This window comes from Homo sapiens, chromosome 17 (assembly GCF_000001405.40).
Source record: "Homo sapiens chromosome 17, GRCh38.p14 Primary Assembly".
Taxonomy (NCBI): domain Eukaryota; kingdom Metazoa; phylum Chordata; class Mammalia; order Primates; family Hominidae; genus Homo; species Homo sapiens.
The window spans coordinates 42,382,792-42,402,448 of record NC_000017.11 but is presented as its reverse complement, the minus strand read 5'-3'; the positions used below and the strand labels follow the sequence as shown (position 1 = coordinate 42,402,448).

The following is a 19,657-nucleotide window of genomic DNA, read 5'->3' as shown; positions in this document are numbered from 1 at the left end:
TCTGTGTTTGATTGTATTCTCTGAAGGCAGTTACATAGGGTTACAGAGGGCAGGTGGGAAGGAGAGAGAAAGAGAGGGAGGGAGAACTGTTGGTATAAACTTGTCTCACGTGCCTGGGGTGGGGGAAGGCCAGGGAGATAACAATAATTGCCAATTTATTGAGCCCTTATTCTCTACCAGGAACTGTTCTAAGCACTTTGGTATGGAATTGCTTATTTAATCTCATAACAGCCCCTCTAGGCAGAGCCTATCATTATCATTCCCAGTCTAGATATGAGGAAACAGTGACTTGTCTAAGGTGCCATAGCTGGGAAGCAGTGGAGCTGGGATTCAAAGGCACCTGGATCCTCAATCTGTTTCATGGTTATAACCCTGTGTCTGTACCGGGTTGTATAGTCTGTTTCATGGTTATAACCCTGTGTCTATACAGGGTCTGTAACCCTGTGCCCCCTGGATCCACTTCCCTGCAGTCAGGGCATTAGCCCTCCAGACACACCCAGTTACTGTACTCAGCCTGAGCTTCCCACACACATACCCTTTGGAATCATAGGCCTAGAGGAGGCAGCCTAGGGGAGGGGAATATCAGAGGCCCTCAGAGGGCTGAATATCGGTAAAGAAAGTACATGACATATCCCAGTTGTATCCACACAGCATATTTCAATCTCCCCACAACCCTGTGACGGGCACTGCTATGGTTTAAATGTATTACCCATATTTCTTTCTTTCTTTCTTTCTTTCTTTTTCTTTCTTTCTTTCTTTCTTTCTTTCTTTCTTTCTTTCCTTTCTTTCTTTTCTCTCTCTCTCTCCCCCTCTCCCTCTCCCTCCCCCTCTCTCTCTCCCTCCCTCCCTCTGTCTCTCTCCCTCTCTCTCTCTCTTTCTTTCTTGATGGAGTCTTGTTCTGTCACCTGGGCTAGAGTGCAGTGGCGCAATCTCTGCTCTGCAACCTCCACCTCCTGGGTTCAAGTGATTCTCCTGCCTCAGCCTCCCAATTAGCTAGGATTATAGGCATGTGCCACTGCGCCCAGCTAACTTTTGTATTTTTAGTAGAGATGGGGTTTCATCATGTTGGGCAGGCTGGTCTTGAACTCCTGACCTCAAGTGATCTGCCTGCCTTGGCCTCCCAAAGTGCTGGGATTATAGGTGTGAGCCACCACACCCAGCGCAAATTTCATTTGTTGGAAACCCCACATTCATATGTTGAGGAGAATCAGAAGTGGGGCCTTTTCAAGGTAATTAGCATTAGATAAGGTCACCAGGGTGGGGCTCCCATGATGGGACCAGTGACTTTATAAGATGAGGAAGAGGGCCGGGCAAGGTGGCTCGTGCCTGTAATCCCAGCACTTTGGGAGGCCAAGGCAGGTGAATCACCTGAGGTCAGGAGTTCAAGACCAGCTTGGCCAACACAGTGAAACCCCGTCTGTACTAAAAATAAAACAATTAGCCAGCATTTTGGCAGGTACCTGTAATCCCGACTACTCAGGAGGCTGAGGTGAGAGAACAGCTTGAACCCAGGAGGGGGAGGTTGCAGTGAGCCGAGATCATGCCATTGCACTCCAGCTTGGGTGACAAAGCGAGACTCCGTCTCAAAATAATAATAATAATAATAATAATCAGATTCTTCCCATGTGGTGGCAAAAGTGACCATAAATAGCAGCAGGCTTATGGACTAACAGGTGAGCAACCCCAGTGAAGAGGGGTTCTTTCCAGATTTGTCCAGCCAGAATCTCAGCTGTCATACCCTGATAGGTCACATATCCAAATCACTATGGCTCTGACCAAACACAGGTCATGTGATCACTTGTAGAACCCACCTGAAATGTGGAATTAAGAGTAGTATTAATCAGGGCTCTTCAGAGAGACAGAACCAATAGGATGGATGGATAGGTAGATAGAGGAGAGGGAATTTATTGGGGGAATTGGCTTATTTGATTATGTAGGCTAAGAAGTCCCACGGCGAGCCATCTGCAACCTGGAGACCCTGGGATGCCATAGCTTGGCTCAGTCCAACTCTGAAAGCCTCAGAATCAGGGAAGCTGACGGTGTAACTCTCACCCCGAGGCCAAAGGCCTGAGAACCCAGGAGGCCACTGGTATAAGTAAGTGCTGGAGTCCAAAGGCCAGAGAGGCTGGAGTTCTGATGTCCATGGCAGGAGAAGAGGAGAGTATCTCAGCTCCAGGAGAGAGACCAACGCAGCTATTTCTCTGTTTTTTGTTCTATGGTGGGTTAGGGGGAGCTGATTGGGTGGTGCCTGCCCACATTGAGGGCAGATCTTCCCCACTTCCTCCCTTCACATTCACATGCTAATCTCTTCTGGAAACACCTCATAAGTATTCCTTAATCTAGTCAAATTGACACCTAAACTTAACAATCACAAGTGAAGGAGGGCTGTTTTCTCAAAGGAAAACAGGGATATAGTTACCAATAGAAAAGGGAGGCTGGGTGCAGTGGCGCCTGCCTGTAATCCCAGCACTTTTGGAGTTTGTGGCAAGAGGATAGCTTGAGCCCATGACTTCGAGATCAGCTTGGGCAATATAATAAGATCCTTTTTCCACAAAAAATACAAAAATTAGCCAGGCAGGATGTTGTGTGCCTGTAGTCCCAGCTATTCAGGAGGCTGAGGTAGGAGGATTGCTTGAGCCCAGAAGTTCCAGGCTGCAGTGAGCTATGACCCAAACCATTGCACTCCAGTCTGGGTGACAAAGCAATACCCTGTCTCTATTTTTTTATTATTTTATTTTAGACAGAGCCTTACTCTCACCCAGGCTGGTGCAGCATTGCAATCTTGGCTCACTGCAACCTCTGTCTCCCGGGTTCAAGCAATTCTCCTGCCTCAGCCTCCCAAGTAGCTGGGATTACAGGTGCCCACCACCATTTCCAGATAATTTTTGTATTTTTAGTAGAAATGCGGTTTCTCCATGTTGGCAAGACTGGTCTTGAACCCCTGACCTCAAATGATCCACCCACCTGGGCCTCCCAAAGTGCTAGAATTACAGGCATGAGCCACAGAGCCTGGCCTATTTATTCATTTATTTTTTAAGGAGGGGGAAAAAAAGAGAGAGAAAGATGGGCAGACAAAACAACAGATGGTCTTTCCAAATGATCTGTTTGTGATTCTGTGCCAGGAGCTGAGAGACTTAAAAAGACAGCCAGATCTAGTCCTTAATTTTAAAGGGTTTGCAATTAGTGGGAGAGGCAGCTGTTCAAAATAGCTCAAAGTGGCCTGGCACGGTGGCTCACACCTGTAATCCCAGCACTGTGGGAGGCTGAGGAGGGAGGATTGTTTGAGTACACGAGTTTGAGATGACTGTGGGCAACACAGCAAGACCCCATCTCTACAAAAATGTTTAAATAAATAAATATTATTAGGTTGTTGCAAAAGTAATTGTGGGTTTTGCCATTACTTTGACAAAAACGACAATTACCTTTGCACGAACACAATAATATCCAGAAAGATCTTCAAGGCATCAAACAAACAAATACATCATAAGTAAATACAAGCTCAAAGACATGACTTAAGGTAAGAGAAGTAAAGCAAAGTGCAATGACAATACCCTGGAGAAGGGTTAATCCTGCTTGGGGAATATGAGAAAACTTAAAGGAAGAAGGGAGCTTTTCAGCTGTGATTCTAAACATGGGCAGGATTTCAATAGATAACTGTTGGAGGCCAGAGGCAGCATTTTACTTGATATTTGTGTCACCAGAACCTAAAAGTGTCTCAAACACAATTATAGTGGTTTATGTTACTTAGTGAAAGAGTAGGAATCAGGGGATTTCCAGGGACTTCTGCAGAGGGAGTGCTCCCTGAGTGCTGATATTAATGGAACTCAGCTCTAAGGGCTCCCAGGCTCTGTGCCTTTCTATTTCAACATTCCAAATTCCTGACAGAGAGACTCTGAGTAAGCTAGTTCACATTAGTGTTTGCCCTGAGTTTAATAACGCCCGCCAGGCACAGTGGCTCAGGCCTGTAATCCCAGCACTTTGGGAGGCCAAGTCAGGTGGATCACGAGGTCAGGAGTTCAAGATCAGCCTGGCCAAGATGGTGAAACCCCCGTCTCTACTAAAAATACAAAAATTAGCCGGGCGTGGTGGTGAGCGCCTGTAATCCAAGCTACTCGGGAGGCAGAGGTTGCAGTGAGCTGAGATGGCGCCACTGTACTCCAGCCTGGCAGAATGAGACTCCGTCTCAAAATAAATAAATAAATAAACAAAAAATAAATAATCAAAGGCCAGGAGGACAGGATCATATAATACAGATGTGGCTGAAGGGACCCATTTCAGTGTCTGATTGCAGGGAGGAGGGGAAACTCCCAGGAAAAGAGGACCTGTGAGCTAGGCAGGTACACAATACGTGTGAATGAAATGCAAGCAGTGATACGGGGCAGGGAGGTTCTTCAGGCAAAACGAACAGCGTGAAAGCAGAAAGGCATAGGGCTGAAGGCTTGATTAATAATTATAGAATTATGGTGTGAGGCTGGGTGCGGTAGTTCAAGCCTGTAATCCCAGCACTTTGGGAGGCCAAGGCAGGCGGATCACCTGAGGTTGGGAGTTCAAGACCAGCCTGACCAACATGGAGAAACCCCATCTCTACTAAAAATACAAAATTAGCCGGGCGTGGTGGCACATGCCTGTAATCCCGGCTACTCGGGAGGCTGAGGCAGGAGAAACCCTTGAACCCCAGGAGGTGGAGGTTGTAGTGAGCCAAGATTGCACCATTGCACTCCAGCCTGGGCAAAAAGAGCGAAACTCTAGCTAAAAAAAAAAAAAAAAAAAAAAAGACAAAGAAAAAGAAAAAAAAAAGAATTTTGGTGTGCTAGAACTAAAAGGGCTCTTGTTTTTTGTTTTTCTTCTTTGTGATGGAGTTTCGCTCTTGTTGCCTAGGCTGGAGTCCAATGGCATGATCTCAGCTCACTGCAACCTCTGCCTCCTGGGTTCAAGCGATTCTCCTGCCTCAGCCTCCCAAGTAGCTGGGATTACAGGTACACACCACCATGCCCGGCTAATTTTGTATATTTATAATAGAGACAGGGTTTCACCATGTTGGCCAGGCTGATCTTGAACTCCTGACTTCAGGTTGATCAGCCTGTCTTGGCCTCCCAAAGTGCTGGGATTACAGGCATGCGCCACCACACCCAGCTAATTTCGTGTTTTTAGTAGAGACAGGGTTTCTCCATGTTGGTCTTGCTGGTCTCAAACTCCCGACCTCAGGTGATTCGCCCGCCTCAGCCTCCTAAAGTGCTGGGATTACAGGTGTGAGCCACTGCACCTGGCTTAGGACCTGACTCTTATCTGCTATGCTGCATGGTCAGCTGGAGAGTATCTTCCAACAAAAAACACTTTAATGCAAATTCACTAAAGTTAGAATTATGTTCTCTATTTGCAGATGAGGATGCTGAGGTTCAAAGAGGTTAAGGAGCTAGCCCAAGGTTGCACAGCTTCTTCTGTGTCAGAGCCAGGATGTCTCGCCTCAGCTCCCCTCAGCTCTCAATTTAATGCAATTGCTTCTATCAACTGCTGTGATGGTCAAGGGAGGAGAGAATGTGTAGGAAGGAAGAGGAGGATAACAGCTCTAGATTCAACGCAAAGTTAAGTAAAATGACTAATAAGATATTGACGTTTGGGAGGCCGAGGCGGGCAGATCACGAGGTCAGGAGATCGAGACCCTCCTGGCTAATACGGTGAAATCCCGTCTCTACTAAAAATACAAAACAAACAAACAAACAAAAACCTAGCCGGGCGTGGTGGCAGGTGCCTGTAGTACCAGCTACTCGGGAGGCTGAGACAGGAGAATGGCGTGAACCTGGGAGGCGGAGCTTGCAGTGAGCAGAGATCACCCCACTGCACTCCAGCCTGGGCGAGAGAGCGAGACTCCATCTCAAAAAAAAAAAAAAAAAAGATATCAACGTTGATGAGGAGGTCCCTGGTAGCCCTTCAAGAGCTCTGTCCTATGAACAAGAGAGGGCAGAAACCACCTTGATGGAGCAAGTGGGGATGAGGACATGGGGCAATGAATGTGAAGTGATGGGGGTAACTTGAGGAAATAGCAAGGTCAGTATAGGAGAGAGGAAGGATCTTCAAGTCAGAAAGAAGAGAACAAGTGGAGAAGGTCAGGAAGGAGAAGAGAATTGAGAACACTCAAAGAGGGGAGAGGCGGGATCAAGAGCACTTCCATGCATTCATTATTTATTGAGCATCTATTATGTCAGCATGTTGACTGGGGAGTCAAGGGAGCCTGGAACAGAGAAGACACCTCTTCCTGGAACTAACAGTATAAAGAGAAAGATAGATGAGAAACCCTATAAACAGAGCTGGATATGGTGGCACACACCTGTAATCCCAGCTACTAGGGAGGGTGAGGCTGGCGGATGCCTTGAGCCCAGGGGTTCAAAGCTGCAGTGAGCTATGACCACACCACTGCACTCTTGCCTGGGTGACAGAGAGAGGTGCCAAACCCTGTCTCTACTAAAAATAGAAAAATTAGCCAGGGGTGATGGTGCGCACCTGTAGTCCCAGCTATTCAGGTGGTTAGGTGGAAGGATCTCTTAAGCCTGTTAGGAAGAGGTTGCAGTGAGCTGAGATCATGCCACTGCATTCCAGCCTGGGTGACAGAGTGAGACCCTGTCTCAAAAAAAATAATAACAAAATAAGGCCGGGCGCGGTGGCTCACGCCTGTAATCTCAGCACTTTGGGAGGCCGAGGTGGGCAGATCATCTGAGATCGGGAGTTGGAGACCAGCCTGACCAACATGGTGAAATCCCATCTCTACTAAAAATACAAAATTAGACAGGCATGGTGGTGTCCGCCTGTAATCCTAGCTACTTGGGAGGCTGAGGCAGGAGAATTGCTTGAACCTGGGAGGCAGAGATTGCAGTGAGCTGAGATTGTGCCACTGTACTCGAGATCATGCCACTGCACTCCAGCCTGGGCAATAGAGCGAGACTCCATCTCAAAAAATAAAATAAAATAAGGCTGGGTGCGATGGCTCATGCCTATAATCTCAGCACTTTGGGAGGCCAAGACAGGCAGATCACCTGAGGTCAGGAGTTTGAGACCAGCCTGGCCAACATGGTGAAACCCCGTCTCTACTAAAAACACAAAAATTAGTTGGACATGGTGGTGGGCACCTGTAATCCCAGCTACTCGGGAGGCTGATGCAGAAGAATCACTTGAACCCGGGAGATGGAGATTGCAGTGAGCCAGCATCTTGCCACTGCACTCTAGCCTGGGTTACAGAGCGAGACTCTGTCTCAAAAAAAAAAAAAATTAAATAAATAGAAAAGAACTGTGATGAATTCCACAGGAAACAGGATATAGAAATAGGGATTAACAGGCTGTGAATAACTTTAGATAGGAGTGGTTAGACAAGGTCTGTTGGAGTAACAAGGAAACAGCCACGCCAAAGCCGGGGAAGGAAAAGGAACAGCATATGCAAAGGTCCTGAGCTGGGAAGTGGACTGGCTGGAATTTAGTGGGCAGCAGAGATGTAGGTGGGGTAGGCAGGGCCTTGAAGGAGATGAGATAAAGAAGAACTGTATCCAAAGCCCCATGAGAATTGACTGGAAGAAAAGAAGGACATGGTATGAATGATGTGTTAAGCGATACAGGAAAAAACATCATAGCCTTGAAAATATTGAGCTGGGGGCCAGGCGCGGTGGCTCACGCCTGTAATCCCAGAATTTTGGGAGGCCAAGGTGGGTGGATCACAAGGTCAGGAGTTTGCAGGAGGCGGAGGTTGCAGTGAGCCAAGATCGTGCCATTGCACTCCAGACTGGGCGACAGGGCGACACTTGGTTTCAAAAAACAAAAAAGGCCGGGAGCGGTGGCTCACGCCTGTAATGCCAGCACTTTGGGAGGCCAAGGTGGGTGAATCACAAAGTCAGGAGATTGAGACCATCCTGGCTAACACGGTGAAACCCCATCTCTACTAAAAAAAATACAAAAAGTTAGCTGGGCGTGGTGGTGGGAGCCTGTAGTCCCAGCTGCTCGGGAGGCTGAAGCAGGAGAATGGCGTGAACCTGGGAGGCGGAGCTTGCAGTGAGCCCAGATTGCGCCACTGCACTCCAGCCTGGGCGACAGAGCGAGACTCCGTCTCAAAACAAACAAACAAAAAAGGAAAAAAAAAAAGAAAATATTGAGTGGGGAGGACTGTTCAGACTGAAGGAAAGAGACATATCTGCATAACGATGCCTGAGGTGTTTTGGCAGAGAGAAGGCCCAAAGAGTTTGTGTTGCGCAGACCTGCTCTTCACTGTGATATTAGTGGGAGTTTTGGGCAGCCCTGGGTGAGCCTTTCTGTTGCTGAACCCCATGAAGATCTCATCACCCTCACAGGTTGCCCCTTACTCCCTTTGGTCACCACAGTGACTTGCCACCCACTTACCATCCCCAAGGTTCTCTTTCTTGCTATGCTTTCCTCTTGACTTTGGGTTTTACTGCTAATTCCTTCGGGGAAGAGGTGAAGCAGTTCTCACAGGGTTAACGAGAATTTTGGACACAAATATAGTTATAATTAAGGAAAAACAGATATAAAGCTCTCAATTTAGACAAACTGTGCTTGAATTTGAATCCTGGCTCTGCCATTTACCAGCTGTATGTTCTTGGGGAAGTGACTTAGCCTTAGGTAAGTCTCATTTTCTGCATCTATAAAGTCACAGTATTTGCCTCATGGGGTTATTGTAAGGATTAAATGAGTTCACAGATATGTTACATGAATTACATTCTTAGAACAGTGGCTAGTACATATTCAACACTCTGTGTTTGTTAATGCTGATGTCATTATTCAAGACTTTTTTTGGAGACAGAGTCTCGCTCTGTCGCCCAGGCTGGAGTGCAGTGGTGCTACCTCGGCTCACTGCAACCTCCACCTCCCAGGTGCAAGCGATTCTCCTCCCTCAGACTCCCAAGTAGCTGGGATTACAGGCACCCGCCACCATGCCCAGCTAATTTTTGTATTTTTAGTAGAGACAAGGTTTCACCACGTTGGCCAGGCTGGTTTCAAACTCCTGACCTCAAGTGATCCGCCTGCCTCAGCCTCCCAAAGTGCTAGGACTACAGGATGAGCCACCACGTCAGGCCTCAAGACTTATTTATTAATATTTAATTAATTCAGTCTTAGGTGAGCTCTAGGCTAGATGATAGATGCTGAGATTATGAAGACAGGGCTTAAGGGGTTCAAGTTTCCAGGAACCCACAGTTTAGGGGAAGATGTTTGTTAGCACGTGGCCAGAGAGTCAGCCAGACCTGATTTTCATTCTGAGTTTCCACCTAGTTTCTAGCTGTGAGACCAGTCTTGAGCCAGTCTTTCACTTTCTCAGTCTTCGTTTCCTCAATTGTAAAATAAGAATTATAATATTACCCTCACTGGGTTCTGGTGAGGATCAAATGAGATAATCTATGTAAAATGCTTAGCACAGTTCCTGGAATATAGTAGTAATTACTTAATCAATGTTAATTATTGTTTTTTTTCAGGAAGTAGGCCAATATGTGGATTTATTAGAATTCAAGGTAGAGAATGTATTCTAGATGGGGAAACAACCTGCCGAAGGAGTCTGGTAGGAGATTAACTTTGCCAGTAAGAATAGAAGGAAGCCTAGAGGAGGTGATGTTGCAACAGGGCTTTGAAGAATGAGTAAGAGTTCTCAGGTAGGGACTGAGGAAAGAGATTCCAGGTAGAAGGAAGACTATCCACAGAGGCATGAAGTTGCAGAAGGTGTAGACATGTTTGGAGGAAGGTAACACATTTAGTAGGGTTTGTGGGACTAGGTTAGAAAAGGGGGGATTCAGGTCAGCCTTTGTGGAATTTATCTTTTTTTTGAGACAGAGTCTCACTGTATTACCCAGGCTGGATTGCAATGGTGCAATCTTAGCTCACTGCAACCTTTGTCTCCTGGGTTCAAGCGATTCTTCTGCCTCACCCTACCGAGTACCTGGGATTACAGGTGCCCGCCAACACGCTTGGCTAATTTTTGTATTTTTAGTAGAGACAGACTTTCACCATGTTGGTCAGGCTGGTCTTGAACTCCTGACCTCAGGTGATCCACCCGCTTCGGCCTCTCAAAGTGCTGAGATTACAGGCGTGAGCCACTGTGCTGGGCCTGTAGGATTTTATGATTCAAATAAAGAGGGAGAAAGAAGGAACATCAATTGAGCTCCTACCACATGCATGGCACTGAATTATGGTGTTTTTTTCTTTTTTCTTTTTTTTTTTGAGACAGAGTCTCACTTTGTTGCCTGGGCTGGAGTGCAGTGGCATGATCTCGGCTCACTGCAACCTCTGCCTCCCGGGTTCAAACGATTCTCCTGCCTCAGCCTCCCAAGTAGCTGGGATTACAGGCACCCGCCACTATGCCCAGCTAATTTTTTTGTATTTTTAGTAGAGACGGGGTTTCATCATGTTGGCCAGGCTGGTCTCGAACTCCTGACCTCAGGATTCGCCCGCCTCGGCCTCCCAAAATGCTGGGATTACAGGCATGAGCCACCGCGCCCAGCCATGGCACTGAATTAAATGGTCAGCTTTTTGTTTATTGTTTGTTTTTGAGACAAGGTTGGTCTTGTTCTGTTGCTCAGACTACAGTACAGTAGAACAGTCATAGCTCACTGTAACTTCGAACTTCTTTCTAAGTTCAAGTGATCCTCCTGCCTCAGTCCTCAGAATAGCTGGGACTACAGGCATGCCACCACCACGCCCGGCTAATTTTTTGTAAAGTTGGTGTTTTGCCATGTTGCCCAGGCTGATCTCGAACTCCTGGCCTCAAATGATCTTCCTGCCTCGGTCTCCCAAAGCTTTAGGATTACAGGCATGAGCCACTGTGCCTGGTCAGCATTTTTAAAATTTAACTTGGATTGGCCGGACACGGTGGCTCCCAGCACTTTGGGAGGCTGAGGTGGGCGGATCACTTGAGGTCAGGAGTTCAAGACCAGCCTAGCCAACACAGTAAAACCCCGTCTCTACTAAAAATGCAAAAATTAGCTGGGCATGGTGGTGGGCACCTGTAGTCCCAGCTACTTGGGAAGCTGAGGCAGGAGAATTGCTTGAACCTGGGAGGCGGAGGTTGCAGTGACCCAGGATCATACCATCGCATTCCAGCCTAGGCGACAAGAGGAAACTCTGTCTCAAAAAAAAAAAAAAAAAAAAAAATTAACTTGGATTTTATCTTGCCGGTAGTAGGGAACCATAGAGATTTTTAAGCCGACTGTGACATGATTGAATTTTTTTTTTTTTTTTTTTTTGAGCCAGGGTCTTGCTCTATCGCCTAGGCTGGAGTGCAGTGGAGGGATCTGGGCTCACTGCAACCTCCACCTCCTGGGTTCAAGCAATTCTCCTGCCTTAGCCTCCTGAGTAGTTGGGACTACAGGCACGTGCCACCATGGCTAGCTAATTTTTACTTTTGTTTTGAGATGGAGTTTCGCTCTTGTTGTCCAGGCTAGAATGCAATGGCGCGATCTCGGCTCACTGCAACCTTCACCTCCCGGGTTCAAGAGATTCTCTTCCCTCAGCCTCCCGAGTAGCAGGGATTACAGGTGCAAGCCACCATGACTGGCTGATTTTTGTATTTTTAGTAGAGACAGGGTTTCATCATATTAGTCAGGCTGGTCTCGAACTCCTGACCTCAGGTGATCTGCCCGCCTCAGCCTCCTAAAGTGCTGGGATTACAGGCGTGAGCCACAGTGCCCAGCCTAATTTTTGTATTTTTAGTAGAGACGGGGTTTCACTGTGTTGGCCAGGCTGGTCTTGAACTGACCTTGTGATCCACCCGCCTTGGCCTGAATGTTTATTTATTTAATTTTTAGGATGATGTCCCTGGCAGCCAGTGGAAGAATAGGATAGAATAAGGAGAGAATAATCAGGTGGTTAAGGCAGTGGCCCAAGGGACAGAAATTGCAGCATTTAGCCAAGAGGAATTTGGCGGGGTTGTGGAGAAAGGCCAGTGTCTGGGCTGAAGAGAATTTTTGCAGGTCAAACCCATAGTCGCAGAGGTAGATTTTATGTGTTACTGGTGGGGAGGCCAATGAGGGAAACAGAGGCCAGCTCTTGAGAAGTCAGAAGCAGGGCAGGGTTTGAATGAATGGAACAAAGCTATGGGACGTAAAGCCCCCAAACCTGACTCTGAACCTGGTATATTTCTGAGTTTCTCTGTGATCTTGAAAATGTCATATTATGTTGTCTTTAGTTTTCTATCAGCGGATAATATGGCCTCTCCTATCTGCTATTCATGATTGTGAGAAAGAAACCAGGCAGGGAGTGTATAAGGTGTGTAAGTCCTTTGTAAGCAGTAAATCACTAAACAAATCCTAGACCCTATGTTATCAGGGAGGCAGTTGGCCGCACGGGATAGCGTAGTTACAAGAGACTATAGGCGGAGATGGGGGATATCTGTCCTGTGGTGTAGATAAACAGCCTAATCAATACACACACACTCTACAGGTAAATACAGCAATTTCCATACTGAGCTGTGTCTACCAGAGGGCAATAGGAGGTTCTCAATTCTCACCACCAGTGACCCTATGAATTGCCCTGTAGATGCCTCTGTCCCTCATTGGATATGAGGTGGTACGAGCGGTCTGAATCTGTAGACTTAGACAGGCTTCAGGTATCTGGGGAACCATGTGAGTAAAACCTTGTATTGTTTCTGGGGCTAGAATCTAGTCTCCTTCAAACACTCAGAAGGATCTGTGACTGCCTTCAAAGGTTAAGAGTCATTGATTTTTCTCACTAGAAATTAATAAGAACAGCTATCCTTGGGGAGAAGGAATGATGGGGGTAGGGAAAGATTTTCATTTAATATTTTTGACCTTTCTGAACGGTCTGCATTTTCTAAACAGGAACATGTATTAGGTTCATTGAAAAAAAATATGTCAGGGGTTAGCTGAGCAGTGAGATAATGGGTCCTTTTTAGATTTTTGTCTTTATACCTGTTCGTATTAAACAAACACAAATATTAATAACATATTTTTAAAGACCCAAAAAAATAAAAATTAAAAACCCTGATAGTATCAGCACATACACAGAAATCACTCCATTATGCAAAGTTCATCCTCTATTATGAAAGGCAAAATGTCTACATTTCCTATCAACCACTGGCTTCAATTCAGTAAAACTTGCATACCAAGTAGGCAAGGTGGAAAAGAAAAAGGCAGAACATTTCATGTATTTCAATTCAGACGCATAAAAATGTCAAGCCCTACACGTTATCAGCTTTCGTATACACCGTCTTCTGCATTCGCCTGTACGGGCCAATGGGCTAGCTGGTCGGCGTTTGATGCTTGAAGTGATGGAACGGAGTACGGGGTTAAATCCACTACCCTCTCCCCACGCACTCTAGTAATTACTCTATTTCCACGTCATGTTTCCGGGTGTGTGTGTCCCTGCTCACGCAGAAACTGAAGTTCAAAGCAGGCGGAGTCACCCATGTTCTTTTTGTTGTCCCCAGAACCCAATTCAGGAGTTGGGTCCCCAGAGGATCTGGAGATACCTGGGGACTATCTAACTAGCTGATTCCCGCGTGGTAAGAGGCTCTCAACCTCGCCACCACGTGGTGCCAAGGGCCGGGAAAAGGGAGAGCGGGCAGGAGGGAGCTGTATCAGGGGCATTTAAAGTGCCTTGACGTCACGCACTGCCAGGAACTCAGCTGAGTTTTCAGCAGGACATTCCGGTCATCTTCCCTCCCTCCCCCCGGGCTTCTGTGCCCAAGTCCTCGGCTCTTCCCTCGCTGTGGCGGAGGGAGGAGCACCGAACTGTCGGAACAGCCAGCACAGGGGCGTATCAGTCTCCTCTTGGCTCCGCCCTTTCTCCTAGCTGCTCTCCTCATTGGTCAGTGGGCGGGGCTTCGGCTGTACCGCACACGCACTGGGACCTCTGGGTGGCCGAACGAGCTGGCCTTTCATGAATTATGCATGACGGCGTGCCTCGGCCAGGCTGGGGCTGGGCGAGGATTGGCTGAAGGGGCTGTAATTCAGCGGTTTCCGGAGCTGCGGCGGCGCAGACTGGGAGGGGGAGCCGGGGGTTCCGACGTCGCAGCCGAGGGAACAAGCCCCAACCGGATCCTGGACAGGCACCCCGGCTTGGCGCTGTCTCTCCCCCTCGGCTCGGAGAGGCCCTTCGGCCTGAGGGAGCCTCGCCGCCCGTCCCCGGCACACGCGCAGCCCCGGCCTCTCGGCCTCTGCCGGAGAAACAGGTGAAGGGGGTGCAGGGTGGGGCCGTTGGGGAGGCCTGGGGACCCGGGGGCTCCGCAGCGGCAGGGGGCCTCTGGGACCTTGGGGATGTTGTGATGGACGCTGCAGTGGGGCCGGGAGAGATGAAGAGACGCGGAGGGTCGCCCTGAGGGAAGACTCTTCGGGATGACAGGAGCGGGCCTCGGAAGGGACTCGGGGCGCTGGAGGGAAGTTTCGTTCTTCGGAGAAACAGAACGCGCTCGAGGGGGCACCGTGGGGCGAGGGCGCACTCGGTTGCGGCGGCAGGAGTGAGGGACAGTCCCCCGATTTCCTGCTCCCTGGGGCCCTGGGGACGTTCCGGCCACCGGAGCGACTGTCACGCCGACGGGGATCACCGGCGCGAGTGGGGGGTCGGAAAGCGCCTCCTCCCCGCCCGGTCGGCGGCTCCCGCTGAGCCACTTCCTCCGCTTGCCCTGTTCCCGCTCCTTCAGGAGACAGCTGTGCCCTTTTGGAGGCAGGAATAGGTGTGTCTGTCGCCTGCAGCCTTACGGGCTGGCTGGTCGTGGGTAGGCTTTATTGCATAAGAATCAAGTTTCCTGTAGGGAAATTGACAGACCGGTACTCTTTCTAAATTCCCTCGCATCTTTTTCTAGGTTAAATTATGCTCCCCCCACGTCCCCGCCTTGTAAAAAAGAGAAAAAAAGACAAAATAAAATCCCCATCAACCCGTCAAGCCAGCTCTAGAGAGAGAAATAAACCTCTTGACATTGTCCTTTTCCAAATACCTGGTAAAGTCGGCCAGAAGATAAATAATTGAGCCATTGCATTTACTGGATTGTGGTGTTGCTTAATTGCATAGGACGGAATGAACCAATTGAGAGTGGGAGTTTTCTGTCTCAGAGCCAAGATCTTGGGTAAATGCAGAGGAGAGGGAAACAAAGACAGGCTGGCCTTGAAAAAACCATGTGTGCAAACTTTACATGCATTTGGGGGGTGTGGTTGCACTGAAGTTAACAAGATTCAAACCGTCGCCCAAGTTGGTATTTCCATGTTTGGTACACATCACTCTGTGCCATATCAGGTCGTTGTTAAGTGTGGTGACAAAATCAGTGGTTAGTCATTTTTTTAATTAAAAATGTGTATAGTGTGTACCTGCTGGTCTTACTGTATGTGCAACTAAAGGTTTACATAGTCTGTGTATGGGTTGTAAATTTTTGGCTGGCTGTGCTGATAAAGCATTGGGCTTGAATAAAGCAAAGCAGAAAATCATCTCAATCTTTTATATGTGGATTTAGACTGTGTTATGACTTGGTTCAGCCAGTTTTCTATCTTATTTTATATTAAATATGTCTGTGTTCTCTGAGTCAGCACATTTATTTCCTTATTACATGTTCCAGACAGGAGTGCTAGCCCAGTTTTTGTTCAGTTTGCACAGTGGGATGGGGAAACAAGTCTGGAATTTAAAAAAAAATGTTTTAGAGGTTGGAGCCTTGATTTTAGTCTCTATATTAGCACATCCATCACAAAGAACCATTAGTAAATTCATGAATCTTTTGTTTTTTATGTAGTTCATTTGAGAAGAATAATCACTTAGAAATATCCACAGTGCCAGGCATGGTGGTGCACACCTCTGATCCCAGCTAATTGAAGGCTGAGGTGGGAGGATTCCTTGAGTCCAGGAGTTGAGTCTGGTCTGGGCAACATGGTGAGAGGCCAGGAATTGGGTCTAGAGTCTAGTCTAAGCACCATAATGAGAACCCATCTTTAAGAAAGAAAGAAAGGAAAGGAGGAAGAAAGGAAAGAAAAAGAAATACCCACAGCACAGTTATGAATTAACCCACAAAGGACTTGTGAGGTGGGTAGTTCACATAACAATTACCCTAATATCGTAGATAAGAAAATTGAGGCCAAAGGATCAAGACACTTGGCCAACGCAGCAGAGTGCCATAGTGGTGGAATTTGTGCCTCCTTCTGTATATTTTGTGAAAAGTATCAGTGAAATTCTTTTTTTTTTTTTTTTTGAGTCAGAGTCTTGCTCTGTTGCCCAGGCTAGAGTGCAGTGGCGCAATCTTGGCTCACTGCAACCTCTGCCTCCTGGGTTCAAGCGATTCTCCTGCCTCAGCCTCCCAAGTAGCTGGGACTACAGGCGTGCGCCACCACGCCCAGCTAATTTTTGTATTTTTAGTAGAGACCGGGGTTTTACCATATTGGCCAGGCTGGTCTTGAACTCCTGACCTTGTGATTTGCCCACCTCTATCTCCCAAAGTGCTGGGATTACAGGTGTGAGCCACCGCGCCCAGTAAGTATCAGTGAAATTCTAACATATATCTGAACAGTAAAATACCACCAATAGGCTGAAAGACTTCATGGGAGGTAAATATTCAATAAACAGGTGAAAAAAGAAATACAAATGGAGCTTGCTTAGATTATTTTTCTAATTGCTATGTCTAACTTGGGAAGTGAGGAACTGTTTTTGGTCAGCATAATTTACCATCAGAATTTAGCTATTTACTAATGAAAAGAAATACTAATCTAGGTTTGTTTTAGATTAAGGACAGTCATGACCTAAATGTCATTTAAACCAGAGTGCATTGTGGCTTGATCAGTGGTCATTTCTGTCTCTAGAAAGTTGCTTTAACTTCTCTGCCTCTACGTGTCTCTTGACATTCAGATATGAGGTGGGGTAGAGGTGGTGACCAACTTTCCAGACGCCTGAGTCCAAACCTTCTTAGCTTATGGTTTTCTTAGGTGATGTGCAAATCAACAAATATATACTTTTTTTTTTTTTTTTTTGAGTTGGAGTTGCACTCTATCACCCAGGCTGGAGTGCAGTGGCATGATCGTGGCTCACTGCAACCTCCTCCTCCCGGGTTCAAGTGATTCTCGCACCTCAGCCTCCTGAGTAGCTGGGATTACAGGTGCCCGCCACTACGCCCGGCTAATTTTTGTATTTTTAGTAGAGATAAGGTTTCACTATATTGACCAGGCTGGTCTCAAACTCCTGACCTCAAGAGATCTGCCCACCTCAGCCTCCCAAAGTGCTGGGATTACAGGCGTGAACCACCTTGCCTGGCCAACATATATATACCTTTTGCAACTTTGTCAGAGTTGCTATGAAGAATAAGTTGTATCTTGTTCACAGAAATTGCAGTCTACTGGGGGAGCTGATAAATGTTTTAACCATCCAATGTAACATGTTGTCATCAAAGAGATGGTGAGACTTTACACTTGTGCTAACAAGGTAGCTGTTCTACATAAAAGAACATACAGTACAGATGTAGAACTTTTCTGTTATCATAGAACGTTCTATTGGACAGTGCTAGGCTGAATGCTACAGATCTTCAGAGAAAGGAGAGGTTATGAGGCCTGGAGTTGTCTAGAAAGTCTTTTTGCCAAAGAGGGATTTCAACTGGGTCCCAAATAATGGGTGGAATTTGATAGGTGTAAAGAATTTGCGGTGGTTTATGCCTGTAATCCCAGCACTTTGGGAGGCTGAGGCAGGAGGATTGCTTGAGCCCAGGAGTTTGAGACCAGCTTGGGCAACGTGGTAAAACTCCCTCTCCCCTAAAAATAAAAAAAATTAGCCAGGCCTGGTGGCGTGGACCTGTAGTCCCAGCTACTGGTGAGACTAAGGTGGGAGGATCACCCAAGCCCCGGGGGTTAAGGCTGCAGTGAGCCGTGATCCCGCCACCGCACTCCAGCCTGGGTGACAGAGTGAGACCCTGTCTCCAAAAAAAAAAAAAATTCCTGGTAGCCCGGTAGACTAGGAGGGTAAGTAGGGGAGAAGTGATTACTTACAAAAGACATTGAATACAGGACCAAGGAATTTCAGTTCTGTTCTTTTGTAGGGGAAGCTTTTAAAACTTTCGGGGCGCCGGGCGCGGTGGCTCACGCCTGTAATCCCAGCACTTTGGGAGGCCCAGACGCGCGGATCACGAGGCCAGGAGATCGAGACCATCCTGGCTAACACGGTGAAACCCCATCTCTACTAAAAATACAAAAAAAAGTAGCCGGGCGTTGTGGCGGGCGTCTGTAGTCCCAGCTACTCGGGAGGCTGAGGCAGGAGAAGAGCGTGAACTCGGGAGGCGGAGCTTGCAGTGAGCCGATATCGCACCACTGCACTCCAGCCTGGGCGACAGAGCGAGACTCCGTCTCAAAAAAAAAAAAAATAAATAAATAAATAAATAAATAAAACTTTGGAGCCGAAGCACTGATGTTTAATCATAGAGTGCTTACTATGTGTTAGGCACAGGCCTGATTGCCTGATGCTGGTTAATTTGTACAAAGTAAATCAGTGCATATGCCCTCTGCCCTAGGGGAGTTATTAACTGGAGTCTGACATTGTACAAAGGTAGGTATCCTGACTAGTTTGATTTGGTACTTTGGGTGAAAAAAGTATAGTGTGCTTAAGTGCAGAAGTGTTTTTTGAGGATTTTTGATTGGATACAAACCACCACTCATATTTTATGTCTTTGGCACTTAAAAATTTCACCATAACTTTTGAGTCATTTATAAAAACCACTGAAAGAGTACTTGAGGGACATCCCCGAATCCTGAAGAACTTCTGGTGTTCTGGAGCAGCCTCAGTGAGATCCAGGAGGATGGCATTGCTGGGCTGGCCCAGCCCTTATTGATTATGGTGTAAAGAATTAATATGGTGGTTATATACTCTTTGTTAGACACCTTGGCTTACAAGACGTAAGCGTAAAGTGTAGTGCGCTTTAGTCAGTATGGCCACATGGTCCTTTGGTGGTAAATTGTTTGAGATGCCTCCAGTTTTTAAAAGGAGTAGCATATCGGGCCAGGAGCAGTGGCTCATGCCTATAATCCCAGCACTTTGGAAGGCCGAGGCAAGAGGATTGCTTGAGCCCAGGAGTTCAAGACCAGCCTGGGCAACATAGTGAGACCACTTTGTTTCTTTAAAAAAAAAAAAAAGGCAAAAACAGGCTGGGCATGGTGGCTGATGCCTGTAATCCCAGCGCTTTGTGAGGCAGAGGTGAGCGGATCACTTGAGGTCAGGAGTTTGAGACCAGCCTGGCCAACATGGTAAAACCCCGTCTCTACTAAAAATACAAAAATTAGCCAGGTGTGGTGGCACACGCCTGTAGTTCCAGCTACTCTGGAGGCTGAGCCAGGAGAATTGCTTGAACCTGGGAGGTGGAGGCTGCAGTGAGCCAAGATCCTGCCACTGCACTCCAGACTGGGGGACAGAGTGAGACATTCTGACAGTGCTACACTGAATGCTACATGTCTTCAGAGGAAGGAGAGGTTATGAGGCCTGGGAATAACATATGGAAGAATGAATTTCTGTTATGGTCAGTTCTCATTTGTCATGTTAGGATTACTGCAACTCTTACCCAGCCGGGTGTGGTGGCTCATGCCTGTAATTCCAGCACTTTGGGAGGCTGTGGGCGGATCACGAGGTCAGGAGATCGAGACCATCCTGGCTAACACGGTGAAACTCCGCCTCTACTAAAAATACAAAAAATTAGCCCAGCGTGGTGGCAGAC

General features: G+C 47.3%; 1 protein-coding gene across 23 annotated transcripts in view, besides 4 other annotated features; it reads left to right on the top strand.

The window, feature by feature from the left end:
• Positions 8,841 to 9,110: an enhancer, noted in NCBI's record as "active region_12199". NCBI's record gives its function as "activates an Ori minimal core promoter by ATAC-STARR-seq in GM12878 lymphoblastoid cells {active_cell/tissue: GM12878}" and the evidence as "EXISTENCE:reporter gene assay evidence [ECO:0000049][PMID:35858748]".
• Positions 13,287 to 13,556: an enhancer, noted in NCBI's record as "active region_12198". NCBI's record gives its function as "activates an Ori minimal core promoter by ATAC-STARR-seq in GM12878 lymphoblastoid cells {active_cell/tissue: GM12878}" and the evidence as "EXISTENCE:reporter gene assay evidence [ECO:0000049][PMID:35858748]".
• The window catches only part of STAT3 (signal transducer and activator of transcription 3), a 75,119-nt gene continuing 69,468 nt past the window's right edge, over positions 14,007 to 19,657 (top strand). For all 23 annotated transcript variants that reach the window (NM_001384989.1, NM_001384992.1, NM_001384984.1 and 20 more), the window contains exon 1: positions 14,007 to 14,170. The gene's annotated coding sequence lies outside the window, so the exon portion shown is untranslated. The remainder of the gene's footprint in view (positions 14,171 to 19,657) is intronic.
• Positions 14,077 to 14,356: a silencer, noted in NCBI's record as "silent region_8528". NCBI's record gives its function as "represses an Ori minimal core promoter by ATAC-STARR-seq in GM12878 lymphoblastoid cells {active_cell/tissue: GM12878}" and the evidence as "EXISTENCE:reporter gene assay evidence [ECO:0000049][PMID:35858748]".
• Positions 14,587 to 14,666: a silencer, noted in NCBI's record as "silent region_8527". NCBI's record gives its function as "represses an Ori minimal core promoter by ATAC-STARR-seq in GM12878 lymphoblastoid cells {active_cell/tissue: GM12878}" and the evidence as "EXISTENCE:reporter gene assay evidence [ECO:0000049][PMID:35858748]".